The 27967-nt window shown below is 42.8% G+C and overlaps 1 protein-coding gene across 9 annotated transcripts, besides 7 other annotated features; it reads right to left on the bottom strand.

Annotated features, from left to right (window-relative positions):
• MAP3K8 (mitogen-activated protein kinase kinase kinase 8) lies at nucleotides 1–27813 on the bottom strand. 9 transcript variants are annotated; one of them, XM_047424624.1, is made up of 9 exons: nucleotides 27456–27813; nucleotides 27086–27197; nucleotides 22560–22918; nucleotides 13885–14052; nucleotides 11315–11576; nucleotides 10090–10196; nucleotides 3598–3750; nucleotides 2333–2579; nucleotides 1–1128 (listed from the first exon to the last, which is right to left on the bottom strand). In XM_047424624.1, exons 3-9 carry the CDS (start codon nucleotides 22893–22895, stop codon nucleotides 998–1000), a joined length of 1404 nt encoding a protein of 467 aa, XP_047280580.1. In that variant the 5' UTR covers nucleotides 22896–22918; nucleotides 27086–27197; nucleotides 27456–27813; the 3' UTR covers nucleotides 1–997.
• Nucleotides 24158–24357: an enhancer, noted in NCBI's record as "active region_3216". NCBI's record gives its function as "activates an Ori minimal core promoter by ATAC-STARR-seq in GM12878 lymphoblastoid cells {active_cell/tissue: GM12878}" and the evidence as "EXISTENCE:reporter gene assay evidence [ECO:0000049][PMID:35858748]".
• Nucleotides 25613–26148: an enhancer, noted in NCBI's record as "H3K4me1 hESC enhancer chr10:30724615-30725150 (GRCh37/hg19 assembly coordinates)". NCBI's record gives its function as "activates a minimal SCP1, AML or CMV promoter by ChIP-STARR-seq in primed H9 embryonic stem cells {active_cell/tissue: H9 hESC(primed)}" and the evidence as "EXISTENCE:reporter gene assay evidence [ECO:0000049][PMID:30033119]".
• Nucleotides 25971–26060: an enhancer, noted in NCBI's record as "active region_3215". NCBI's record gives its function as "activates an Ori minimal core promoter by ATAC-STARR-seq in GM12878 lymphoblastoid cells {active_cell/tissue: GM12878}" and the evidence as "EXISTENCE:reporter gene assay evidence [ECO:0000049][PMID:35858748]".
• Nucleotides 26149–26686: an enhancer, noted in NCBI's record as "H3K4me1 hESC enhancer chr10:30724077-30724614 (GRCh37/hg19 assembly coordinates)". NCBI's record gives its function as "activates a minimal SCP1, AML or CMV promoter by ChIP-STARR-seq in primed H9 embryonic stem cells {active_cell/tissue: H9 hESC(primed)}" and the evidence as "EXISTENCE:reporter gene assay evidence [ECO:0000049][PMID:30033119]".
• Nucleotides 26811–26860: an enhancer, noted in NCBI's record as "active region_3214". NCBI's record gives its function as "activates an Ori minimal core promoter by ATAC-STARR-seq in GM12878 lymphoblastoid cells {active_cell/tissue: GM12878}" and the evidence as "EXISTENCE:reporter gene assay evidence [ECO:0000049][PMID:35858748]".
• Nucleotides 27151–27250: an enhancer, noted in NCBI's record as "active region_3213". NCBI's record gives its function as "activates an Ori minimal core promoter by ATAC-STARR-seq in GM12878 lymphoblastoid cells {active_cell/tissue: GM12878}" and the evidence as "EXISTENCE:reporter gene assay evidence [ECO:0000049][PMID:35858748]".
• Nucleotides 27691–27930: a silencer, noted in NCBI's record as "silent region_2267". NCBI's record gives its function as "represses an Ori minimal core promoter by ATAC-STARR-seq in GM12878 lymphoblastoid cells {active_cell/tissue: GM12878}" and the evidence as "EXISTENCE:reporter gene assay evidence [ECO:0000049][PMID:35858748]".

Here is a 27967-nt window from a genome sequence, read left to right as displayed (position 1 = left end):
TAAGGCAAAATACTGAATTTATTCAGTTGATTTGACCAACCACATTGGACAAAAGTATTGGGTTTTATTTGCATAATGTAAAAACATACTTTACATAAGACTACTCACATACTTTACAATGTTACAAATATATATATGTATGAAAGATTCATGAAGGCATTTGATATAAAACATACACAGTATGCTATTTTAATATACAAATGCTTAAAAGAAAATTTAGTCATAAGAATTACAAAATCATCAATAATTTACAAAAGTTTTCATTTTTCTTAAAGGTCACATTCTCATCCTTTGGGATGTACAAAAATTATGTGGTTTACACAGTTTTATCCACATTCAAAACATCACGTTTTGAATGTCTTCAGCATAGCATGTACAGTATAAAATGTTTCCATAGGAACACAAAAGAAACTGTCACTAGTGGCCTGCTGTCAGATGGCTTCTAATTCATCAGTTAGCCATTTTTAGGACACTAGTCCAGCTTATTGCTACAATCTTCAAGTTGTTCTAGTCACCCAAATTATAATGAATTCAATGTATACCAGAATTTACCAATAAAGGCTCAAAGAGTTATATAATATACACCAATATACACAAAACAGCTATTCTGAGTAAAATGAATATTCCATACTTAAATAAGAACCAAGAATAGTAATTTTAGGCTACTCTATTATCCTTGTGATTGGTATTTTTAAAATTTTGAGCAAAGTGCACAGTGAATGAAACAGTCAGCAGACACGATCCTTCTGTGAACTCTCAAATTCCTGCCTTAGAATCACGTCACCTGAGAAATGAGAACCTTGAGACCTGGTGCATATCAAATAGCTTCACATGTCAAACACACAGGGCCGCTTGGAGGCACATTCACGGGTCACAGGAGGTCACACTGCTCCTTCGAAAATGGCACCATTCACTGTACAGGGCCCCTGTGTAGAGGCAGCAGAACCAGCCTCCAGGAGATCAATGCTGTCTTAATTTAGAGCAAACATGGCATCCTTCAGCCATATTCAAGCGTTGGTGGTCCCCGAACAAGATTGAAGTAGCCAGCCAGAGCGCCGAGGTCGATGTAGAGAGAGCGTTGCCTCTTGAGCATCTCAGATTCCTCGGTGCTTCCTGTGCACGAAGAATCTGAAAAGGAAAACATTACAAAGTAAGTAACAAGAAAACGTGTCAAATGATAAATACCTGTTCCTTCTGCAGTGAAATAAATCTTTGGGGCCTAATAAAACAGTGTCTTAAGCGTGAAAGATGGGTCTTTGAACACTATGGCTAAGTTCACATAATATGACATAGAACAAAAAGTTCAAACAGGAGTCAATGGAGACAAGAAATTAGTTAGAAATCCTGGCATATTTTTCCAACAGCCAGATTGCTCTCTTTAAATACACAAAAGTTAGACAAGCAGCAAAGAAATATAAACAAGCGCACCAGGCTTGACATCTCGGTTTGGACCTAAATGGATTAAGAATGCCACAGACTTTTAATAAAAATGGAAATCCCTCTTTATGCATATTCAATGCTCCTGGAAAGCATACTGACTTTCCTAAGTGGGAAAAATTTACAACTGGCAAGATTTTAAGCCAAGGAAGATGGAAATGCAAGTTGACTTCAAACTGAGTATTTTATCTGTGCAGGGCAGTGCCATGATGTTCCCCCACCAAGGACTGGGGTGGCTTAATATAAATGAGTTAGGCTGGGCATGGTTGCTCACGCCTGTAATCCCCACACTTTGGGAGGCCAAGGCAGGTGGATTGCCTGAGGTCAGGAGTTCGAGACCAGCCTGGCCAACACGGTGAAACCCCATCTCTACTAAAAATACAAAAATTAGCCAGACGTGGTGGTGGGCACCTGTAATCCCAGCTACTCAGGAGGCTGAGGCATGAGAATCACTTGAAACCGGGAGGCAGAGGTTGCAGTGACCCAAGATCATGCCACTGCACTCCAGCCTCGGCAACAGAGCAAGACTCCATCTCAAAAAAAAAGAAAAAAAAAGTGAGTTAAGAAGAACCAACTGCAAAGCTGTCATGCTCAATCTGTTTTCAAAGACAAAAGTTGTAAAAAAGCAAGTTGCAAAAAAGCAAGTCAGAAGCATTTTCCAGTGACTGTGCTACCTACACTTGCACTGAAAATCTGTTATAATTTGGTGCTAAATTAGCCAATTTAAAAAAAAAAACATGCTTCTGCTAATCTTGCTGAAATTTCTCAAGCAAGGTATGGTACTCAAGAAGTCATTTCCTTTTTTTCCAAGTGCTTTCATGAACTACATCAGAGGTTTGATGTGGACAGAAAGAGAAGGGAAGTAAGTGTGCGGCACACAGCAGGGTGTCCCTACCAGCAATGTTCTCAGGAAGTTCCAGCTCCTTCCTACTCAGCAGCCTCTTGCGCTCCAAGAGGGCAGAGTCCAGACTCTGACAGCGTGGCTGATCCTCTCTGGGCGGGTTCAGGGCCTCATGTTTTAGTAGGTCTGCGGCTCTTGGGCGGTGATTGGGGTTTCTCTCCAGGGAAGCTTCTATCAGCTCTCTCATCCCTGGACTGCAGTCATCTGCAATGTCTTCCAGTGGAGGTGCTTGCTTGTGGATCTATCAACAAACCAGCTCTCTTAGCATCAAAGGTATGGTGATACACCCTCAACAGCAAAAGCATGCTAGTACCAGGACCTAGAAAGTAATCCGTTTTCCACCACATGCCCTGCAACGAATGCAGTTCAGCCCTTAAGCAAGCAAGCTTCCCTTTAATTTCTTTTTTCTTTTCCTTTTGAGACAGGGTCTTTGCTCTGTCATCCAGGCTGGAGTACAGTGGCACCAACACAACTCACCGTAGCCTCGAACTCCTGGGCTCAAGTGATCCTCTCACCTCAGCCTCCCATGCAACTGGGACCACAGGGCATACACCACCACACCTAGCTAATTTTTTTAATTTTTTGTAGCGATGGGGTCTTGCTTTGTTGCCCAGGCTGGTCTTGAATTTCTGGGCTCAAGAGATCCTTTTGTTTTGGCTTTCTAAAGTGCTGAGATTACAGGCGTGAGCCACCGTGCTTGGCCCACTTTAATTTCTAAAGGATACCAGGTTAAACCCATCTTCTGATTTAATGTTACAAAAGATAAGTGATAGGTTTGAATGTCAGTGACAGCTTCAAATCAGTGTCCCAAAAGTCACTGTGCAGTAACAGGGAAGTGTCTGCTCCTGAATTTATCAACAGTAAAATGGGAATTGCATGTTCCACTACAAGCCACACTGGTGTGAACATTAATAATAAAAAATGTTTTAACTGTTCAAAGAACACATACAACTTCCTTTGCTGAAATATTTATGCTACTCTGATGCTACTAAGTAGTGTTGCATTATTACACATACAATGGAATAGCATAAATTATGCCCAATGCACATTTTAGTAAGCTCCCACTAAAATAGCTATGTTTTCTTTGCAAGAATGGAGCTTGCTTCTACATGGGAAGAACTTGTAGCTACCTGTCATTTCACCATTGCCTCATTCAGATGGGGGTGGTATAGAAGGCAGAGCAGTCCCTCCCAAGCCTGCGGGATGCATAACTCAACGCCCCCCCCCGCCGCCCCCAGCCCTGGTTGAACCCCACTTACTATGTACAGGTAGGAGGGATAGGCTGAGCGAGGGTAGCGCTTCACCCAGGGTGGGGTGCCCGTCTGCATGTGGATGAGCGTGGCCCCCAGGCTGTAGATGTCTGCTTTGGTTGAATGGCCCCTGCACAGGATGACCTCTGGGCTCATGTAAATCTGAAAAAGAAGTGGGAAACATTCAGCTTCATTCCCCTCCTTTGTGTGGGTTTCCATTTCCCTAATCCAGTTCTGGAAATTGGCTCATTTGCCTTAAACTAGGAGAATAATGCAGGCATTCCCCAGGAACCATGCAGCAATTGCTGGAGGTGTCCCTGCAGTCTGATGAAGAACACCTGGCCGGGCGCGGTGGCTCACACCTATAATCCCAGCTGAGGTGGGCGGATCAGGAGTTCAAAACCAGCCTGGTCTCTACTAAAAATACAAAAATCAGCTGGGCATGGTGATGGGCACCTGTAATCCCATCTACTTGGGAGGCTGAGGCAAGGAGAATCGCTTGAGCTCGGAAGGCGGAGGCTGCTGTGAGCCGAGATCGCACCACTGCACTCCAGCCTGGGAGACAGAGCGAGACTCAGTCTCAAAAAACAAAACAAAACAAAACAAAACACCACCTTTTTCTGGTTGATCTGGTGGCAAAGAGCCTAGAACCAGGAATCTATCAGGGACTCCCACTCATCAAAGTTCTGCAGTACACTGATCAGGTGTAGCTAAGTTTTCAACTAAAACGCCAATTCCTTTTATATTTAAATGAACTACAAACAGACTTCTTTATCTGTTTGTCATTACACTGCTAACCTTCTAAATATCTGCAATGATAAAAGGTGATAGAAGTCTATAGGGTATTAACACAAATTTCTTGAAAGGGAAAAACTTAAAAAATAAAGTGTAATATTGTAGAAGTGATTCTAAAGAGTCATTTTTACAAACTATCTGTTATTTTTACCTACTATGTAGCCCAGTGACTAAATATTAAATGCAGCCATATTAACATTGTATAAGTTATATTTGGTCTCATGAGTCCATGCTGAATAAACAGGGCTGGTTTTATAAATAGTTTCTCTAACGAGCATTTATTTCTAAACTTAAGAAAGAAACAAAGAGAGGTGGGGCATGGTGGCTCATGTCTATAATCTCAGCACTTTGGCTTTTTTTTTTTTTCGAGATGGGGTCTCCCTCTGTCACCCAGGCTGGAATGCAATGGTGCGATCTCGGTTCACTGCAACCTCTGCCTCCCGGGTTCAAGCTATTCTCCTGCTTCGGCCTCCCAACTAGCTGGGATTACAGGCATGTGCTACCACGCCTGGCTAATTTTTGTATTTTTAGTAGAGATGGGGTTTCACCATGTTGGCCAGGCTGGTCTCGAACTCCTGACCTCGTGATCCACCTGCCTCGGCCTCCCAAAGTGTGGGGATTACAGGCGTGAGCCACTGAATCTCAGCACTTTGGAAGGCCGAGGCAGGAAGATTGCTTGAGCCCAGGAGTTTGAGACTAGTCTGGACAAGATGGAGACCCCCCATCTTTACAAATTAATTAGTTACCTAATTTAATTAAACATTTTTTTAAAAAGGAACAGAGCAAACACTGGTGACCAGTGATTTGTATTCATGGCTGGTGCAGACATATAGTAGTTAATATCCTGATTATCAGTATTTCGCTTGAAACAGCTTGTACACTGTCTGCCATGTGAATAAGAGAATGGAGGTCAGTGTTTCCGGAACACATTTCAGGGTAAGTAATTAGAGAACTAGCTTACAAAAACCAGAGAAACTGCCCAGTCTCCCCACCCTAACCCTGCTCAACTCCTTCCTGCAAGCCACTTCCGGGCCAGCTTCCTTTTGCTCTCAGCAAACAGGTGAAACTGAGCTCCCGTTCTCAAGCTTTCCCTGCAGCAGAGCCAGAGGACTTTCCAGAAGGACTTTGCTACTAAATATATCACAAACTTAAAAAATTAATGCACAACATTGTACCTATAGTCAACAATAGTGTATTGTATACTTAAAAATGTGTTGAGAGGGTAGAGTTCATGCTAAGTGTTCTTACCACAATCAAATAAAAAAGAAAAAGAAATGCAATGGGTATTATTAACTGTCCATAGAGGATGCCTATCTTCTCTCCTGTACCCCCTCCTCCCTGCCAATAAAGCAAGGATTGGGCGGAGTGCCCACTGCTGGTGTAGCCCACAGGGGTTGTGCAGAGGTGGCTCTGCAGGTTCTATGTGACTGCACGCCTAGGCAGCCTGGGGGGATGGAACATCTGTAAGCCTGGTGGCCTGGGTGCTGCCACTCAGGTAGAAACCCCAGAGCTTCCTGGCTCGGAGCTCTTGTTCCTCAAGCTCTACCAACTACCAGTTAGATCAGGGAGCAGCAGGGCATAATGTTCGAGCACTCTGGCTGATTAGAAGGCATGAAACAGCCCTGGTGGGACCAACACAGGGCTCTCTGAGAGTTCTGCACCCTCGGGGCAGGGCACTGGAGCAAGAGAAAACCTTGATGTCAGCGATCGAACCCTTCACCTTTCAATATGTTTATTAGAAAGGGAAAGAGACCGTGTGTGTGCGTATATGTGCATGTGATGACTATATGTTAACTTACAAAGGTAAAACCAAGCAGACTTAGAAGGATTTTTCAAAAAGGACCAAGTTCTAAAAGTAATTCTGATTTGTTATTCGCATTCACTATGTATTCTCTCTCTGTACCTTGCAACTCAAAAACAGTCTATTCTGTATATGCTGGATTAACCCTGGATGTGTATTACATGGTTACAATAGAATGCTCTGAATACCAATGCTTAGAGAGAGCAATCAAACAGGGGTAACCAGGGTTTGCATTTGGGAGCTATACTGCAGAAATCAGAAATTGTCTATGACTGTGCAGTAGCCACATGATCAAATTCTAACATCAGCCAGTCTGCACAGTTGACTAATTAGATCTCCTGGCTCTTTAAGTAGGAAGGGTAAAAGCAAGCTTGTTGAAAGGTTTCACTGGTCACTTCACAACTTTGTTCATTATCAAACTTCAACTCGTGTGTACTAGGCAGATATTAAATGCAGGCTGATTAGAAGAGAGTTTATATTTATAAACACCAAGGCACAGTTTTGCACTTCACAAAAAGCAATTTGCATTTGCCAAAAAAAACCTGATCCAAATACTACTCAGGAGTAAAATATGTTATTATCTCATATCCATGCATTCCGCTAGACAGCCCCAGAAAGAACACTTCTTTCTCCAATGTTGCAAAATGTTCAACTTCACCACATTGCCAGGAAGAGAAAAGTATTTTCCATCTTTAATACCATAAATAGTTTGTTTTTCAAACTGGTTCCAGGAAAAAGGGTGGTGGAATATTACATATCTGAACTCCTGACTAATGCCAAATATGCTGAAACATTTTCCAAAGAAAACATGTCGTAAGCATTAAGTCTTATTAGACCTCACACTTTGGTAAAGTATTCTTAAGATCTGGGGACTAAGCATTCTTAAAAAAAAAAAAAAAGTACAGCTTCCCTTCTGAATATTGTTCTGCTCAAAGACAACCGTCAAGAATCCTCGCTCGAGCATTTTCAATAATAACTTCAGTAATATTCACAAAAGCAAGGATTTCTTCTGCTGCCCGGGAGAGTGCTGGCTTTGAGAGAGTTGAGAAAGGACTTACAGAATCTTGGCGTTTTTTTTTTTTTTAGGACAAGGTCTTGTTCTATTTTCCAGGCTATGGGTGCAGTGGCATAATCACAGCTCACTGCAGCCTCATCCTGGGCTCAAGCAATCCTCCCACCTCAGTCTCTTGAGTAGCTGGGACTACAGACATGCACCACCATGCCATTTTTACAAAAAGTAAAGTTTTTGTTTGTTTGTTTGTTTACTTTTTGTAGCGATGGGGTCTCACTATGTTGCCCAGGCTGGAAGAATCTGGTTTGAAAGGAAGACAATTTTTTTGTGGCTGCAATCCAGTTCAGTGCAACACGTATACTAGCTAGACTAGACTAAGGGTTGTCATCTGATTGAACACCAAGACTGACCTGGTAATCCTGACATAGAGGTGCAGCCAAAGACCCTCTCTCTATTTCCTATGGGCACTTCCAGCAAAGAGAAGGGCATGGGGCTGAGTGGCTCAGGCAGTGCAGCTTCCCCCGGTAGTGGTGAGGGGCCAAGGAGGCAGCTTTTACACCCATTTACCTTCCTGCTTGCATCCAACCTTGTGCCCATCACAATCAACTGTGAACTAAACTGTTGTGCATGCTTTCTTTCTTTCTTTCCTTCTTTTTCTTTCCTTCCTTCCTTTTTCTTTCTCCTTCCTTCCTTCCTTCCTTCCTTCCTTCCTTCCTTCCTTCTCTCTCTCCCTCCCTCCCTTCCTTCTTTTTTTCTTTTTTTTTTTCAAAAGAGATGAGGTCTGACTCTATTGCTCAGGCTGGTCTCGAACCCCCAGGCTCAAGCAAACCACCCCCACCTCCTTGGCCTTTCGAACGGTTGGGATTACAGGTGTGAGAACACCACGCCCATCCCTAAACGGTTGCTCTTTTAATAATTCAGGTAATTTAAAGTAAGTCCTCCCACCAAAGAGTGAGGATCGCTGGAGTACCACTAAGGCTTGCTCCTCACTGCCTTGTGTCATGCTTCCTCGTTGGTGCTCACAAGAACCTGCCACATAGCAGATGCCCAGTGGACACTGGCTAATTGAATCACCCAGTCAGCCTAATGATGTGAATGTTAAATACATTACTTGGAAGCCCGCGAACGCATTTTTCAGAATCTCATTTAGAGTCAGGAAAGAAAGGCTTTTCTGGGTCGTTTTTTGCTTCACAGATGAGTTAAACATGAGTGCTGTTTTACATCTTTAAATAAGATACATTTATGCTCACTACTTGAGGTTTATTATAGAATTCCTAGGCTCAAAGAGAGGCCTTTAGAGTCCTCATAAATATTAATGACCATAGTTAAGACTGTCATTGAGCCAAAACTCAGTGATATTAGTTATATCACTAATATATTTTAATAATGTATGTAATATTATAATTTTTTAAAGTTATGTAGCAGTTAGACCTTAGGGTTAGACTTAGAAAGAACTGGGTTCAAGTCCAGGGTCTGTCACTGAGTGACTCTGGACACTTTATTTTAATCTCTGCAAACTTATTTCCTTGATTGTAAAATAAGAATAACAATAGCAACAACTGGGTTGTTGTAAGGATTAAATAACATACTGCTTTTTAAGTGCTAAACTTATTATAAAGTTAACTCTAATTCTATAATTATTATTAAAGCTGAACTGTGGGCCAGACACGGGGGCTCAAACCTGTAGTCCCAGCACTTTGGGAGGCTGAGGTGGGAGGATCACTTGAGGCCAACAGTTCATGACCAGCCTGGCCAACATAGTGAAACCTGCATCTCTACTGAAAAAAAAAAAAAATTAGCTGGATGTGGTGGCACATGCCTGTAATCTCAACTACTCAGGAGACTAAGAAGCGCTTGAACCCAGGAGGTGGAGATTACAGTGAGCTGAGATCATGCGCCACTGTCCTACAGCCTGGGCGATGGAGCAAGACTCTGTCTCAAAAACAAAAACAAAAACACACAAAATAAAGCCGAACTGTGGATATGATCTATTTTGGGGGGCTTTTTTTTTTTTTGAAGCAACATCTCGTTCTGTCATCCAGGCTGGAATGCCCATGGCTCACTGCAGCCTTGAACTCCTGGGCTCAAGCAATCCTCCTACCTCAGCCTCCCAACTAGCTGAGACTACAGGCGTGTACCACCACACTGAGCTAATTTTTTTTTTTTTTGAGATGGAGTTTCACTCTTGTTGCCCAGGCTGGAGTGCAATGGCACGATCTCGGCTCACCTCAACCTCTGCCTCCTGAGTTCAGATGATTCTCCTCCCTCAGCCTCCCGAGTAGCTGGGATTACAGGTGCCCGCCACCACGCCTGGTTAATTTTGTATTTTTAGTAGAGACGGGGTTTCTCCATGTTGGTCAGGCTTGTCTCAAACTCCCGACCTCAGGTGATCCGCCCATCTCAGCCTCCCAAAGTGCTGGGATGACAGGTTTGAGCCACCGTGCCCAGCCTAAACCAGTTTTTTTTTATAGAGATGGGGTCTTGCTATGATGCCTAAGCTTGTCTCAAAGTCCTGGGCTCAATTGATCCTCCCACCCCAGCCTCCCAAAGCACTGGGATTACAGGCATTAGCCACCACACCTGGCCAATGTGATCTATTTTGACATGACATTGTGTACAAATGTTCTATATTATATATATCAACATGTATATTATATTACAAATACTATTATGTATTATAAATAACATAGCAAAAAATACAATAAAAAATCAAGTGCTAAACTTAGTACTTGACACAGAGCAAGTGCTCATTAAATGTGTTCCAAGGAAAATAATGATTTAATGCAGTGGGTTTCTTCCCCTTCTTTGTCCTTCGTTCCCACAATAATTCTAGAACATTTTTTCCTTTTTATTCTTAATAAAATAGTAACCCTTTTCATGTGAACATAATTACCTCTGTTCCTCGGAGGTCCTTAGGAAAATAGACATCTTCGGTCATTTGAACACTTAGGCCAAAATCCACCAAAACAGCTTTTGTGGACATGAAAACAATGTTGCTAGCTAAAATGAGAGGAAATATTTTTAAGATAAAATTTTTTATATACCCATAAGTCAAATGAAAACATTATCTAAAACAATAATGAATCTCCAATCAGAAAAGACTGAAATGCTTCCTCTAGTGAGATGGTTGTATTATATTCAAAAGAGGAGAATGAAATTCAGAGTTGAGGTGAAAATCACTTTGGATCCATCAAGAATACAGCCAATGTGGGTATGAATGATTGTAGCCATTAATAATGTTCAAGAACTTGAATTTCAAACTCTAAGACATAAGCATACTGTTGTCAAGCCACTTTTCTAAAACAGAAAAGTAAAATACCCATCTTTTTTCCCAGTGAAAGTTGTGCCACTCTAATTTAGTACTGGCTATTAAAGGTTTACCTATTTCCTCATCATATCAGACTCCTAGAAAACAGTTAGTAAAGGTGTGTTTAATGGATTATTGTTACATTGGTATAAAAAATGAAAAAGGTATTTGTTTCTCAAAAATACTTGTCTCTGTGTTTGTATGTTTTTAAGTAAATTGCTTTTTTTTTTTTTTTTTGAGACGGAGTTTTGCTCTTGTCACCCAGGCTGGGAGAGCAATGGCGCCATCTCAGCTCACTGCAACCTCCGCCTCCCAGATTCAAATGATTCCCCTGCCTCAGCCTCCCAAGTAGCTGGGATTACCAGCACCCACCACCATGCCCAGCTATTTTTTTTTTTTTTTTGTATTTTTAGTAGAGACGGGGTTTCACCACATTGGCCAGGCTGGTCTCCAATTCCTGACTTCAGGTGATCAACTTGCCACAGCATCCCAAAGTGCTGAGATTACAGGCGTGAGCCACCGTGCCCAGCCTAAATTGCAATTTTAAAAGCCTTTTTAACAGAGCAGTACCTAATAGGTATGTAGCTATAACCTTTCAACAACTGTTGAAAGTAATCTTTCCTTATGACTTTGAAAGCTCTAGTAACCCCGCATGATTCTAAGATATGTCTCTGGAGAAGGAAGACGGACGGTGCTCTGAGGGAGCTTTCCACCCTCCATGGAGGGTCTTCAGATTACAGGAAGGAGCTTGTTTGTCTCCTGAATAACTAGTCTCTTTGAGCCAAAAAGGTATATGTCCAAAGATACTTACGTTTAATATCATGATGGATCACTTTCTTTGAGTGTAGAAAATCAAGTCCCTTGAGAACATGCTTTGTCACCCAAATAATTTCAAATTCTCTCATTGGTCCACAGCTCTCCAGTTTCTCCAGAACAGACCCTCCCTCGCCTGCTTCCATAAAGAGATGGACAGTTTCACCCCACAGGACTGCGCCATACAGCTCTGCGATGTTCTCGTGCCGGAAGCAAGCCTGGATTTCCACATCAGATGGCTTAAATTGATCTACTGGGATCTAGAACACAAAAATACAAGCGAGATTCTAAATAACCCCAAAGTCATCTTAAAAATATAAAATATAGGTCAATGCAAAAAACAAAAGGCAAATAAATGCCCTCAAGAATACTCTGCCCTGTGTGAAAATGGACTGCCCAGTTACAATAATGTTCACCTCAGATCTGCCTTTAACTATGTTAGTCAGCTTTAAGTATAAAATTCAGAACAAGAAAATAAAAAACAAAATAATGAGTTACTCTTTTCATTTAGAAGTCAGAAATCTATCCAAAGTTTTAAAATTATGAATGAATCAAAAAAGAGATAATTTCCCACCTATTAGACAACAGTATCTATGGTACCTTGAGTTTAGGTTGTATTTTCAATATTTCAGTTGGTTGTGAGATAATATGAAGTGTTTGTTGCCACAGTTCATACTCTATTATAGCAATGTATTTAAAATAAGCACTGAGGCTGGGCGGTGGCTCATGCCTGTAATCCCAACACTTTGGGAGGCCAACACAGGCAGATCACTTGAGGCTAGGAGTTCGAGACCAGCCTGGCCAACATGTCGAAACCCCGTTACTACAAAAAATACAAAAATTTGCCAGGCATTGGTTGTGCATGCCTGTAATCCCAGCTACTCTCTTATTACAATAAGAGAAACCAAGACATAATATTTGGCAATTATTTATTTTATTTTTTGTTAAATCAAAAGTGAGTGTATTTTATTTTGTTATACTTTTGAAAATTTAATTAAAGTAAAACAGACATACAAAAAAGTGTAAAAATGATGGGTCCAACTCAATGAATTATCAACTGAACGTACAAATGTAACCCCCATCTAAATCAAAATGAAAAACCATGTCAGGCCAGGCGTGGGGGTGAGTGCCTGTAATCCCAGGTACTTGGGAGGCTGAGGCAGAAGAATCGCTTGAACCCGGGAGACAGAGGTTGAGGTGAGCCAAGATTGCGCCACTACACTCCAGCCTGGGCGACAGAGCTAGACTCCGTCTCAAAAAGAAAAACAAACCAGAAAAAACACACAGATGTCTACTAGCATTCAAGAAGCCCCCCTCTTGGCCCCTTCCAGTCGCTACTCTCCAAGGGTACCCACCATCCTGACATCCAGTAGCACAGATTTTGTTTTGCCTGTTTTGGTCCTTTATATAAATAGAATCTCATACAGTAGATCTCATTTCGTGTCTGGCTATTTGGGCTCAACATAATGGTTATGAGATTAATCCACATTATTATAGTTGTAAATCATTTATTCTTTTTACTATCCAGAATTTCACTAAGTAAATATATCCCATTTCAGCATTTTGGAAGTTTCTAGTTTGGGACCCTTACAAATAGTGCAGATATGAACATGCTACCACATAGCTTTTAGTTTTTGGTGGCCACGTGGACAGGTCTCTGTGGAGTGAGTGCACCTACAGGAGAGGAATTGTTGAGTCATAGGGGGTGTGAATGCTCACCTTATGTAGATACAGTTTTCCAAAGTAGTGGCACCTTGGCAGTTATTGTTTAATAAGAAGGGATAAGGGCAGGGCGCGGTGGCTTATGCCTGTAATCCCAGCACTTTGGAAGGCTAGGCAGGTGGATCACTTGTAGTCAGGAGTTCGAGACCAGCCTGGCCAACATGGTGAAACCCGTCTCTACTGAAAATACAAAAAATTAGCTGGGCATGGTGGCAGGTGCCTGTAATCCCAGTTACTTGGGAGGCTGATGCAGGAGAATCGTTTGAACCCAGGAGGTAGAGGTTGCAGTGAGCCGAGACCCCGACACTGCACTCCAGCCTGGACAACAGAGCAAGACTCTGTTTCAAATAATAATAATAATAATAATAATAATAATAATAAATTTGGGATAGGGTCTTTTCAATCATTGATGTATTTAAATTCAGCCCTTTAAATCTGCCTTCCTGAAAAGGCTACCTCCTTCCCAGTTTCTGCCTCTGCCTGGCCCCCTCTGCAGTGGGCGGAATGAAAGGAGAAGCACAGAGAATTGCTCCTACTTTGCAGGATGGCTCTTCTCTACTTCTCTCCAAGAGTGATGATGTTATTTATCCAAATCAGTGCTTTAAAAACCAGCACTTATCCTTTTAATCATCTAGATTAAAATCAACTATGCACCTAAACAGAGATTTTAGGGCTGAATGGCCCCAAGTAGCCAATAAATTCAGAAAAACAAATGCTTTGAGGCAGTGCACCCTCAGATAAGACCCAATCAAACGATAAAAACCTTTGGTTAATGCAAATGGACAAAAAAACAAAAGCCAGAATGCCAAACACACAGTGTGGGTTATCTAGGTAGAAAACACATACCAGTTTACACGCCATTCTTTTCTTCGTCTTTATATCTTGTGCCAAGTATACCTTTCCAAAGGCGCCCCGAGGAATAAAATCAGAACCAATATTCCTGTAAGTCAGCTTCCAGGGGATCAGGAGAACATCGGAATCTATTTGGTAACGTCCATTTTGGGGAGTGATGACCTACAACAAAATAAAAATGTGAGACGGTGAGAACTTCAGTCAAGCTGGCTTTTTCTAAGACCCACCTATTAGGAAGCTGGTTATTTTAGCAGCATTCTGATACACAGTTATGAAATTAATGTCACTGTGCTTAATCCTACCAACTGTACAGAGACTATATTTAGAGCTTGAGGAAGTCAGAGAGAGCATGTAACAGATGCAGGTGCCTGGTCAGACCTGGTCATATTTCCACCTACTCATGAGTAATTAATTGCCAAATAGAACTTTAAAAATTATTTATCTAAAAAAGCATGACTACGGCAACCAAAAGGCTGAAAATAAAGATTGCGTAAATATAAACCGTGCCTGCAGGTTGACTTGTTTCTATTACAATGTGCGAACCTGTTAGTCCACATAGCTATTACTCACACATGACGCATACAGAGAAAGAACATCAAAATTAACTGATGATCATGGAAGATTTTGGAAAACCACAGCGTATGTCAGAGCTATGAGTTGACAATGCTATGTAAATTAAGTGAGGGCAGAATTACTTTGCATCTACTTGCTCACTTAATATCTATCGCATGCATTGTTATCTATTGCTTGCAAAATAGGTGCTAGGCACTGTGTTTGGTGCTGCGGAGGCAGCCACAAACGAGATGGCTGATCCCTGACCTCCCAGGGTTCATGAGCAAGCCAACTCTTAGAACTAGAAGTTTTGAAACTAGTTGATTCAAAAATTGAGAGACAGCTGGGAGCAGTGGATAACGCCTGTAATACTAGCATACTGGGAGACTGAGGCAGGAGGATATCTTGAGGCCAGGAGTTCAAGACCAGCCTAGGCAACATAGCGAGACTTCATTTCTACAGAAAAAAATAAAAACACAATATAAATTTTAAAATAATAAAACAAGAATTAAGAGGTCTATTCTGACAGCAATGTGGGTTTCAAGGGCACATGCATTTGTCAAAACTCGTAAAATTGGACATTTAACATCTGTGTATTTGACTATATATAAAATATATTTCAATTTTTAAAGAGGAAAAAATTAGAAGAGAAAATAATTAAAATTAAAACAAAATAATATGGTAGTTCATGGGAAATGCAATCTGGAACGCGTGCCTGTAACATGTCCAGAGTGTTCTTTCAAGGGATAAATCGCCTCAGTACCAGTTTCTCCTCAATGTAATCAGTAATATTATGGCTTCTGATTCTGAATTCAGGAGTTATGAAACTTCTTCTTCTTCTTTTTTTTTTTTTTTTTGAGATGGAGTCTTGCTCTGTTGCCTAGGCTGGAGTGCAATGGCACGATCTTGGCTCAATGCAACCTCTGCCTCCTGGGTTCAAGGGATTCTCTCATCTCAGCCTCCTGAGTAGCTGGGATTATAGGTACGCACCACCACGCCTGGCTAAATTTTGTATTTTTAGTAGAGATGGGGTTTTACCATGTTGGCCAGGCTGGTCTCAAACTCCTGACCTCAAGTGAGCCACCTGCCCCAGCCTCCTATAGTTCTGGGATTACAGGCGTGAGCCACGGCGCCTGGCTCAGGAATTGTGAAACTATTAAAGGACCTTAACTTATTTCAAGTAACAGAAGAAGCTGAACAACTAGGTGCGGTGGCTCACGCCTATAATCCCAGCACTTTGGGAGGCTAAGGTGGGAAGACTACTTGAGGCCAGGAGTTCAAGACCAGTCTGGGTGACACAGTGAGACTCCATTTCTATTTTTTTAAAACTTAAAAGAGGCAGCAGCAGCCGCTGAAGGGAATGTGACAAATCCCCAGATCTACCACATGGGAAGAGAATGAACTCTTGATTCATCTGCAGATGCATGGGACTTCTTATTAGGGACACGGCTACAGAAATAGTTCTAGTAACTGTAAGGGCCATTCAGTCAGCTCCACCACTGCTAATTTTAGCTACACATCCCACAAACAGATGTGTTCACTATTAGTCAGGGAATAAAGCAGAGACTAACTCTAATGCTTAGAAATATGAAGTCATTAAATTTAGAAACTATTTACTGAGTGTTTCTGCTGTGTGAGACCCTGTGCAGGGCCCTAGAGCTAACATGAATAAGTGCAGATGGCGGTCTTGCCTTGTTTGAAAGATAACCTGTATGTCGCCTCTGGTTGCTGGAGGCCTCTTTTGCAGCATGCTGAGAACATGATAGATTTAGTCCCTTTTCACATTTAGACAGAACCCTACTCACAACACTCAAGAGCACTTGCTGATTTTCCGTTTCTTGTCATTAAATATTTACAGGCCTGATTTCACCTCACCCTCCAGTGAACCATCTCTGTGTTTAACTCATCTTCATGAAAGTTTTACCAACCTAAATTTGTTATAACCCAGTTTAGGTTTTTTTGTTTGTTTTTGTTTTTATTTGGAGACGGAGTCTCGCCCTGTCACCCAGGCTTGAGTGCAGTGGCTGGAGTGGAGTGGCAGATCTTGGCTCACTGCAACCTCTGCCTCCCAGGCTCAAGCCATTCTTGTGCCTCAGCCTCCCAAGTAGCTGGGATTACAGGCACGTGCTACCACACCCAGCTAATTTTTGTATTTTTAGTAGAAATGGGGTTTCACCATGTTGGCCAGGCTGGTCTGAAACTCCTGACCTCAAGTGATCCACCCGCCTCGGCCTCCCAAAATGCTGGGATTACAGGTGTGAGCCACCTGTGCCTGGCCTATAACCCACCTCGAACCAGTGTCCTCTTATTCTGTCCAAGAGGACAAAAGATAATTTCAGCCATTTGTTGAGTTCTAAGTACAGCAATGTGCTCAGTACTTCAATACATTATCTCATCGAAGTCTACAATAGTCTGAGCTTAACTACTATTTTTATCTCCATTTCACAGATGAGGAAACTGACTTCAAGAGGTTAAGGAACATGCTAGTTAGTGCTGGCATTAGGATTTGAACTCAGATCTGTCTGACTCCAAAGCATACCTCCTAGTCTGGGTAAGAGCCTTGTATATTCCAGAAGGCCATAATTAAAGCTGAGCTAAGATGAAAACCCAGTTATTAAATGCCGGGTTATAAAAATAACTCAGTTATTTATGTGTTTACATATTTTCTGAGCATACCTTAGCCTTCTCCTCTGTAGATCAAATAATGCAAGTTCCTTCACCCCCATTCACCCCTATTTTATAACTTCCCAGATTCTGGGGACCAGCTTTCAATGCCTATGAGTTCTCCTAGGCTCTTTTCATGATGGGCCCTGAATTTCTAGTGTAATGTGCAAGTCCTGACCAGTTTGCAGTTCTGCAAATGCCTGGTTCTTCCCCTAGCCCCAGATCCCCTGTATTTAATTTAATTTAATTTTATTTTATTTTATTGTGATGGAGTTTCGTTCTTGTTGCCCAGGCTGGAGTGCAATGGGGCGATCTCAGCTCATCGCAACCTCTGCCTCCTGAGTTCAAGCGATTCTCCTGTCTCAGCCTCCCAAGGTGCTGGGATTACAGGCATGTGCCACCACGCCCAGCTAATTTTGTATTTTTAGTAGAGATGGGGTTTCTCCATGTTGGTCAGGCTGGTCTCGAACCCTGTATTTAAATTTTAGATGGGTATTTTTCTTCTTTCTAGGGGCCCGTATAAATTTTTTTTTTTTTTAAGACAGGGTCTTGCTCTGTCACCTAGGCTGGAGTGCAGTGGCCCCATCACAGCTCACTGCAGCTTCAACCTCCCAGACTCAAGTGATCCTCCCATCTCGGCCTCCCAAGTAGCTGGGACTACACGTGTGTGCCACCTCACCTGGCTGACTTTTTTATTTTTTTGTGGAGATGGGGGTCTCACTATGTTGCCCAGGCTGGTCCCAAACTCGGGCTCAAGTGATCCTCTGGCCTCAGCCTCCCAAAGTGCTGGGATTACAGGCATGAGCCACCACACCCAGCGCTATCAAACCATCTTAGGGAACTCTATGCTGCTTATCTCTGCCAGTTCTTCAACTTACCAAAATCACCTGTAAGGGCAGGCATTATAAGCACACTTCCTATCTCCTCATCCAGATCACTGTCATTTATACGAAACAACACTGGGCCAAGAAGCAGCATATTGAGAAAACTCTTTAAGTATTATAGTAAGAATAGATTCCACAAGTGACTGGTGTGATATGCTACTATGAAACAGACATGGTATCGATCTATATTCATGCAGGCATATTATCTAGCACAAAGGCCAAGCTAGCTCTGTCCCACTCTGCTGATCACAACAAATGGATCCTCACATTCAAAATATGGCTCTAAGATAGACACTAATACAAGCTTGAGTTCACAGGGTCCTGCCCAGATGATGAGAGAGTTAATAGTACAATTCATGAGAAGTCATGCACACAGTTGGAAATGCATGTGAAAGAAGAGACAAGATCTGGGGAACATGCAATTTAAAAAATTTTGGAAGGACTGTCATAAGGAAGGGGTGTAACAATTGTATACAACAGTAACTCCCACAATGCCTCGAGTTCATTTAACACTCACTATGTGTAACCAGGTCACATGTATTCATTAATTGCTCCAAATATCAACTCTATGGAGTGTCATGATGTTATCCATTTTATGAATGAGTAAACTGAGGCACAGACAGGTGAAATGACCAGCCCAGGGTCACACAGCCAATCCATTTCAGAGCTGAACTACATAACCCAGGTACTTTAATTCAGGACCCATCGTCTTCACCACTGCTCATCATATGCACTTTTTTTAATGGCCAATAAGTAGGGCTTGCACTAAACGGTCAGAGATGAATTTTGGTTCTATATAAGGAAGAGAACTTTCTTACAGTCAGGACTGGACAAATAGGAAACTTTGTGTCCCAGTGTGTAATGAGCTCCTTGTCACAGGAGATTTTCAAGAACATACCAAAATGTTCTACCAATTATTGGAGATGATGAACAGGGTGATTTGAGTACTAGACGGAGGGCTGGACTCAAGTATCTTAAAGGCTTTTTCAACTCTGAGAAGCCATGACTCCATGACTAAGCCCTAAGGAACATCTTCAGCTCTCACACTTATAGATATAAAGTTGTAAAAAAGGGGTGAAGGTTTTGGGGTCCTTCAGTCCCCATAAAACCACCAAAGAGTTGAGTGTTTGGAACTCATTTTAGATTATTTGTTCCCGGGCCAGGTTATGAATCAGCGTAGATGATAAATAACATGCAGCACTCTTACCCAAAGCAATTCCCAGGTTAGTCTCCCAAAGCTTCTTCCCCAGATCTTGCTGGATGTTGGTGGGATCTTTAACAAATATTATTTTTAGTCAAATCACACACACAATCACTGAACATGCCTGTTCTTCAGGATGCTTTTGTAATTCCTGGTTCTCTACCCTGTCTAAATAACTCAATGGTGTTGTGGTTGTTGGCTGCCTGAATACATCAGGTCTCCATGTCTCTGGACCTCTGCACATGCTGTTTTCTCCACCTGGACCCTGTCCACTTCATCTAGCTGACTCCAACTCAACACTTCAGACCTCGGCTTAGGCATAAATCCTTCTTGGAAGGCTGTGCTGACATTCTCCTTCCTTCTACCACACTCATGGCTATGTAAAGTATCCTGCCTGTGCACTGCCAGAGCAAACAGCATGCACACGTGCTGGGAAGCAGCATACTCTGCTATAACTGCCTATTCAACTGCATCCTGCATGCACCAGGCAGCAAGCTCCCAGAGGCACAGACTGTTCCATACTATCTCTAGCACCCGACGCACTGCAGATGTCCAAGCTGTGTCTAGCAAATGAATAGGTAAATACTTGAATGAAAGTTTCCCCATCCCTATGTAGATACATCATATAGATGGATTTTACCTAGGAACCAATCAGCTGCTATTTTCCTAAAGCTGAGAGTTAGAGAGCAGCAAATGAAGCCCAGTGAGTAAAGTTCTGATAGGGTAGTGGGTGGAAGATGATGGGAATAGAAAGATCTTGAACATTGGGTGGTTCCAATGTTCCACGTGAGGATGAAAGGGAGCCGAAAGCAAGCCTTGCCTCCCTCACTACTGTCTTGAAGTGACTACAATCAGAGATGACAGTCCCAATTCCTAGGCTATCATTTATGAAGCATGGAGCTCTGATGGGTTACCTAGCAGGCACAGCAATGTAGTCCATCTTTAATGTGAGTGGCAGGAAAGTCAACCGCAGCCCCCCAGAGCCATCGACCACTGGGTCGATTTGCCTAGCGAGGCCATATCTAAGATCCAATAGATTTTAAGGTCCTCCTCTTATTCTCTTCTGTTTTTTAGTCTTCTTGTTTTATATGTTATATTCTTGATCATTTTAAAATAAAAATCTTTTTAAAGTTTTTCAAGATCCCTGCCTTTACTTATGTATTTGTTTATTCTTAAAATTTTTCCTGGCCAGGTGCGGTGGCTCACGCCTATAATCCCCACACTTTGAAAGGCCAAGGCAGGTGGATCACCTGAGGTCAGGAGTTCGAAACCAGCCTGGCCAACATGGTGAAAACCCATCTCTACTAAACATACAAAAATTAGCCGGGTATGGTGGCAGAGGCCTGTAATCCCAGCAACTCGGGAGGCAGAGGCAGAGGAATTGCTTGAACCCATGAGGCGGAGATTGCAGTGAGCCAAGATTGCGCCACGGCACTCCAGCCTGGGTGACAGAGCGAGACTCTGTCTCAAAAAAAAAAAAAAGAATTCTCCTTAATTATGTACTTGTTCTTTTAAAGAGCACAGGACCCACAGCAGGTAATGACAACATTTTACTCAAACCCTTTGCTGATACAATTTTATCCTCATCTTAATGTCTTAGTCTCTCTTCTTTTTAGGATTAACTTTTCTGGTCCCATTCCTAAAAGACTTCAGAATGTTGTTTCTTTGTATTTCTTCTAAATTTCCTGAATTTCTTTCTGTACATTCCCAGATAGGCCACGGAATAAGCAAACATACCTAAGTCTTTGCATATTTACAAGCAAGAATACTTTGGTTTTTTTTCTGCATATTTTCATTTAAAATACTCATTTTTATAGAAGGAGCAGGATTTTAAAAAAAATTTAATTCCCATTTTAACAAATAAATACGTTAAAAATGAGAGAAATACACAAACAATTATATTTCTCGGTATAGACATATATATAACTTTGAACCCGAGTTCTCCAACTATCCTTTATTTGGGAAAATCAGATATGGCTTCTAGTTCAAATGATTATTTCTCATTTATAAAAGGAAGAAATATTCTGAAGGTAAAGTACTTAGTCGACTATTAAATAGAGCTTGATAGAGCCAGACCAAAGCAGTCACACAACAATGCAAAATATTATCTTGCTCCATTGTGAGCTATGGTTGAGTATGACTGGCTTCTGACAAAACAATTCACTACATACCTGACCTAAATTACTCTGTTGTTTTTAATTAAATGAATGTGGTATGCAAAAAAGCAAAATAATTAAGTACTTTTTCTGGACTCCGCACTCATTCAGCACCGACTTTCCCCCAACATTAGCCATTTTGCCATTTAGATACACCAAAAGAAAGGGCGTCACTTTCATCAATAAGCATGTTTTGCAAGCTACCACCTACTCCTTTGCAAATTATTCTTTTTAAAAATATTAGGTTACCTTTAGCCAGCACCTACGTTCACCTCTGACATACTAAAAGCCTGACAGAATCCCAGGCACACCTAAACACATCACCTGATCTACTATTATGGCAACAAAATGTTGCCACAATATTTTGCATGATTTGCATACTTGCGATGATTAAGCAAATATATCACTTGCCATTCATACTTTGCCAATGAAAGAGAGTGAATCTGTGGATAGCTATTTACTGCCTACATACTACATTTTTGCAAGAAATGAATTAATAACATTTCAAGATGTGACAAGAAAGGAACAAATAATTCAGCCTTCAAGATTAATTAGTGACAAAGTGTTTATTCCCCTCTCAGACGAAGGAGTCTCATTAAGCCTTTCTTTTCTGCATAACTGATGAATAAACTTTTTAGTGAACTGTTAAATTAAAATACATTCTTCTTTGTTGTTGTTGAGACAGAGTCTCACTCAGTCACACAGGCTGGAGTGCAGTGGTGTGATCTCGGCTCATCACAACCTCCACCTCCCAGGTTCAAGGGATTCTCGTGCCTCAGCCTCCCAGGTAGCTGGAATTACAGGCACCCGCCACCATGCCAGGCTAATTTTGTATTTTTAGTAGAGACGGGGTTTCACCATGTTGGCCAGACTGGTCTCTAATTGCTGACCTCAAGTGATCCACCCACCTCGGCCTCTCCAAGTGCGCGGATTACAGGCGTGAGCCCCTGCACCCGGCCAAAATACATTCTTCTTAATTACCTATTTGTAGAAATACTACTAAAATATGATCAAGAATCTTTAAATAGAAATTTTAATGAAGACTTTTTTTTTTGCATCTTTAACATGGAAGTACTTCTTACTGATGATTACATTTTTTAAAATCATGCCTGCCAGCCCATCTAAGCCAAATTCAAACACCACTCTGCATTAAATGAAGCTGCAGTAGGAAAGCTGAGCACATAGCACCCAACTGATCGGAAAGAAACGTACCATGTTTAATAAAATTCCAGATTCCTGTGGTCGTTGTCCATAAAAATGCTTTGCAGTGTTGGATATATGGTTTGCAAAAGCAAGCAAATCCTCCACAGTTCCATATCTGACTGATGACAACCATGGTACCTCTTGGCCACTAAGCAGCAGAGACTTAGAACGCTCATCGTTTTGATTACTGTCTTGACACATGGTCATTAGACTGGGTTCATAAACTGCTGGCTCTTCACTTGCATAAAGATTTTCCATAATGTCTATTACATCAGACACATTTAAATGTTTAATTAATAAATCAATCTCTTCTTTATTGTCACTTCCAGTGCTCATGTACTCCATTACTGTTGCTCTTTCTGGAGAGTCTAGGAAAGAAAACACAAATATTTAGTTTACGATATTTGTATTTGCATTCAAGACCCATGGGAAACTGACATACAAGGATTGGCAACAGGATTTTATATGCTTTTGTTCAGAAAACGAGGGTTCTGTGTCAACTGTGTGTATGAATTCAAGTTGACAGTGCAGAGTTGAAAGGGACCTAAGATAACCTTTAGTCCAGCTCACTTTGCAGAGGGAAACCTGAGATCCAGAGAGCTTACTCTTACTCACAGAGTCAGTGGTATCAGCTACAGGCACTGAAAACAAACTTTCACTAAACATACACACGAATCAAGAGCAGCTCAGAAATCTTTGAAGACCTTAGGCTACCGGCTCTTTAGGGCTTCCAACCTTACACAACCCAGCTATTCCCCCGAAGTGGCACCCTCCCTGCAAGAATCGCTATGGCTTTTTTATGCCTCTGGTGACTTTAAAGAAAAATAACCTCTTCACTAAATGCAGGAGCTAACTTGGCAAATAAAACTCAGGCCCTGAAAGCCAGAAGCTGGAAAAATGGATTTCAATCTACACAAATTTGATGGCAATAGGTCAAGTTTCAGGAATGATTCTTATGCAAATGAGTTAAACAGCTAATTGGAAGGATGACAGGAAACCTTGTTCTCCCAGTGATGAGTATGAGAAAGATGATGATACATTTAACCTATGATTCAGCTGTCCTCCCTTAGGACCAGAATTCTTTAATAGTGCAAAGCAAACATCTTGAGGGTCCCAGAAGATTAATATCTAAATAAATGGCCTTCTAGAAGCTGTGAGTAGTAGAAAGAAGCCAGGAAAGTCAAATTTATCATAAGCAAGTCCAAGTGACTATATTAACCAAAATTGCATTTCAGCTCTTATATACAAATCAGCTGCCACACTTGGAGATCTGTAGATGAGAAAAAGAAAGTAAAGCAAGGGTAAAAACTGACGTTGTTACTCAGGATTTTAGAACAACTCTGTTCTGAAGGAGAAAAGACAAAAGGCCCTAAGAGATCTAAGAGAATTTCAAGGCACATTGGTTTACTTAAATCACCGATTGCACTCCCAAAAGCATAGCCTCTTTCTGAAAGGTATTTCAAGTTCTGAGAAGCACAAGCCTTTAACACACAGGACACTCAGGGCTAAAGCCACGCACGTCTGATCAATCTGGAGCTTCATTTCAAAGCTCCAGGAAATGCTCCACTGCAGAGCCACCTGCACGCATGACCCAGCCATCTGCCTCTCAGTGAATTTCATTTGACAAAAGAACCATGCAATTTAGTGTCATCATTCACTTACTTGATGGTCATTTTCTGACGTATGAATTGTGTCTGAGGAAAGCAGTTTAGCATCCTGCAATCCAACATTCCTCTGGTCTCAGACTGCTTGGAGTCAAATCTCATTGCCTCCCCCCACACTCCCATTTACTGCTTGCATGACGTTGAGCAAGTAACGTAACCTCTCTCGACCTCAATTTTCCCCATCTGTAAAATGGAAGTAATAACAGCACCTACCTCATGAGGTGGTCGTGAGGATTAACAGAGTTCAAGCTCATAAAGTGCTCAGTGCAGTGTCAGGGGCATGGTAAATAAGCTGTGTCATTTTTAGCTGCTTTGTATGCATGAGTGAGAAAAGTACTGAGTCAGACTCCTGGCTTTGCAGATACTGCGTTAGCTTCCTTTCTTATCTGCAAACAAGATGTGGCTACCTATTCCCCTGGCTTCTTCGCGGTAAGAAGATTGCATCTAAAACAAGACATAAAGAGAGAGAAAAAAAAGGCAGAAACCTATGAAATGCTTTCATGGCTGTTATCACCACCGTGAAATCTAGAGTGAGGGGGCAGCTTCCCCTCCTGAGATCTTGTACATCTTCGAGGGAGATTGTGATTCAGGTTCTTGGAGTCTGCTGAGTTAGGAGAGCAACTTCTTAGATTAATGGAGGAACATTTGACTTCGGTTTTACTGAGCCGTTTAGTTGCAGTTTCTGCTTGTCGAATTTACTGGAAACACAGAGGTTAAAAAAAAAACAGCCTAATTTAGGGCCTCAGGGGTTGAAAGGATCCAAGTCTCCTGGACTTATTTATCAAACAGATGATTTGACAGAAAAAAAAAAAGTTCTCAGTACTAACATGACTCAAGAAAGAAAGAGGAAAAAAGTCCACACAGTTCAAATTCACTCTGCTGATCTGGGAAGACAAATTTTAGAGGATTTTTTTTTTTTTTATAGTAGTAGTGGTATTCTTTTTATTCTTTATTCTTTTATTTTTTTAATTGGGGGGTTTTCCTGTGAGGACTGGAGATTCTAAAAGACAAATCCTAAAAGAGCTGTAAGACAAGATGTTAGTTTTTAAACCCTGCAGAAAAGTCTCAGGCATTTATATGTAAAACCCAAGAGCTTGAACACACACAACCACACCCCTAAACTGTGAGTTGCCTGGAAAGGGGAGAGGGAGGGAAGCAGGACCCGGGAGGTGGAGGAGTGTCTGACGCTGAGACTTTTCTCAGTGCCTGCAGTAATTCCTTAGCAACACAGGGCCCCTGTCACGCAAATCTACGTTCCCCAGAAACCCTGCTGACCAGTTCGCCTGCTAACTGCGCCTGCAAAAAGCCTCAGCACTTTCCAGCCTTAATTAAGCACACAATATGCTAATGGTTTCTGAGTTATTCATGATCTGTGCCCATCTAGAGAAAGTTCAGATTGTGAAGGTATTCTAGTTTGGCAATAAAGACGTTTAGTATAAGATGATTTTTCCCTTGACACAGTTTACAATAAAAGTCCTCATAAAATTCCTACTTCCTAACCAAACAGAAAATTATGCCAGCTTTTGGAATTGGAGAGATGTGCAAATACAGTCAAAATTAGTTACACTGAATTATTTCAGAAATCAGCAATAAAATCACGAGGAAATTCTCTTCCTAAACATTAACATAATACTCTTGGCTGCCTCCATATACAGAAACAAAATGTGAGTGTTTCCTGGCAAGTGTGAATGAAAATGGCCAGCATAACAGCATATGCTTCTGCCTAACAAAGAATGACTATTACTTGTGTTATTTCTCATTTAAAATATTTTTTTAGGCCGGGCACAGTGGCTCATGCCTGTAATCTCAGCACTTTGGGAGGCCAAGGAGGGTGCATCACCTGAGGTCAGGAGTTCAAGACCAGCCTGGCCAACATGGTGAAACCCTGTCTCTACAAAAATTAGCCGGGCGTGGCGGCGGGCGCCTGTAATCCCAGCTACTCGGGAGGCTGAGGCAAGAGAATCGCTTGAACCCGGGAGGTGGAGGTTGCAGTGAGCCGAGATCGCGCCATTGCGCTCCAGCCTGGGCGACAAGAGTGAAACCCCCTCTCAAAAAAAATTTAAAAATTATATATACATATATACATATGTGTGCCAAAATAGTACATTCTCCCTCAGGGCACATTTCTGACTATGTTTTTGCTCTCAAAAAGCCCCGGATTATGCGTTTCAGGCGTATGGAAGGAAGGACCGACACTCTGCTTCAAAACCTCTACATGCCTCAACGTTCCCATTTGCTTTACACGACAAAGTCCTCATGGGCCGTATGCCAGACGTCCTGCACACAAACCTCAATCCGTCGCAGAGAGCTGGGGGCGTCAGCTGGAAGTGGATTACACTCTCCTTGGCACAAACGACTCAGGCCACAGGTATGTAAAGCAACTGCAAGAGCCTTTCTGTCCCTGTTTTTTATCAAGAGCAGCCTTTAATCTTGTCTTCCCAAAAGTGAAATAGACAAGCATCGCAACGTTTCTCTCTTACAGGCAGCCGGTGGCCTTCCCCTGTTAACTATGGAGACAATCCCTAGGCGTCCTTCTCCGCCCAGAGCTAGAAAAATTTCAGAGTCCTGATCATGCACTATCGCTCGAAAACAACTTCCGTGAAAATAACTTTTTTTTTCTCCTAGTATTCTTTCTTAGACCAAAAGCCCAGCCTTCGTGTTCTGCTATGACCTCTTTAGTCATGGGATAGAGTCCGGGTTACAAACTTGAATTTAGTTCCAGCCATTCACAAGTCTCTGGGCTCCGCCAACCCACACTCCCACTCCTTTCCTCCTGGTTCTCTAAGTCAAGGGAGCCTAAAAGGCTTATAAATTATCAAAGCACCCAGCATTTGGGAGGATCGGGTCCTCCAGCCTCCGAGCTGCACTCACCGGGTCTCGGGCAGGGAGAGTGCGGCCGTCCAGGCGGCGTCGGCAGCGGGAGGCGCAGTGACAGCGGGTCCCCGCTTCCCCGCGCACTGCCCAGACCAGCACTGCCCTGGCGCTGCGGATACGGGAAGGAGGAGGAAGGGGGAGGAGTCGCGAGTCTGCACCCCGTGAGACCCTTGCGCAAGGTGCTTTCCAGCTGTGCCTGGTGCAGCCGGCGACCCGCGAGCGCAGCTGTGGGCACGCCCCCACCTCTTCCCACGCCAGAGTTTTCCCCTCTGCTGGGGGCACCCTCCATTTCTGCATGGGAATCCCCGGGGCACCCAGGCGGGACGCGACCCGAAAGACACGCCGGAGACCCCCAACCCTGGATTACCTGCGGCCTTGGCGCTCCCACGCCGGCCGAGCGCTCCAGCCGCGGCCCCCCGAAGGTTCGGTGCGATGCTGGCTGCAGGCCTGTGGGAGCCGAGCACGCCGGGCCACTGGGATCCGGCGGCGGCAGCGGCAGAAGCAGGAACCAGGGCGCCGGACCCCAGAGCGTGGCGCGCAGTCCAGAGCGGAGCGGACGAGTGAGACCCGCGTCGCCCGCACGCTCAGACCGCCCTGCTCTGCCCCTGACTCACGGCGTCTGAGCCTGCCCAGGGGCGGCGCAGCGGACGCCAGCCACCGCCTCCCCGACTTTTCCATTTCCCCTTTCTCTCCGTAAACAGAAAGAGACTGCCCGGTTGCAGGGTAAGCCAGAGCCCCCGCGCTGGGAAATTCCGCGTCTCCCCCCCACCCGCCACCCCGCCGCCCCTCATTTGCCCTCTGGGCGCCCGGGCGGAGCTGGAGGCGGGACTAGGGAGGAGCAGAGCGGCGCGCAGGGAGGAGCGCGGGACGTGAGCTGCG

This window comes from Homo sapiens, chromosome 10, assembly GCF_000001405.40.
Source record: "Homo sapiens chromosome 10, GRCh38.p14 Primary Assembly".
NCBI classification, from domain to species: domain Eukaryota; kingdom Metazoa; phylum Chordata; class Mammalia; order Primates; family Hominidae; genus Homo; species Homo sapiens.
Note: the sequence above shows the minus strand (reverse complement) of the source record. Positions and strands in the feature narration are given on the sequence as shown.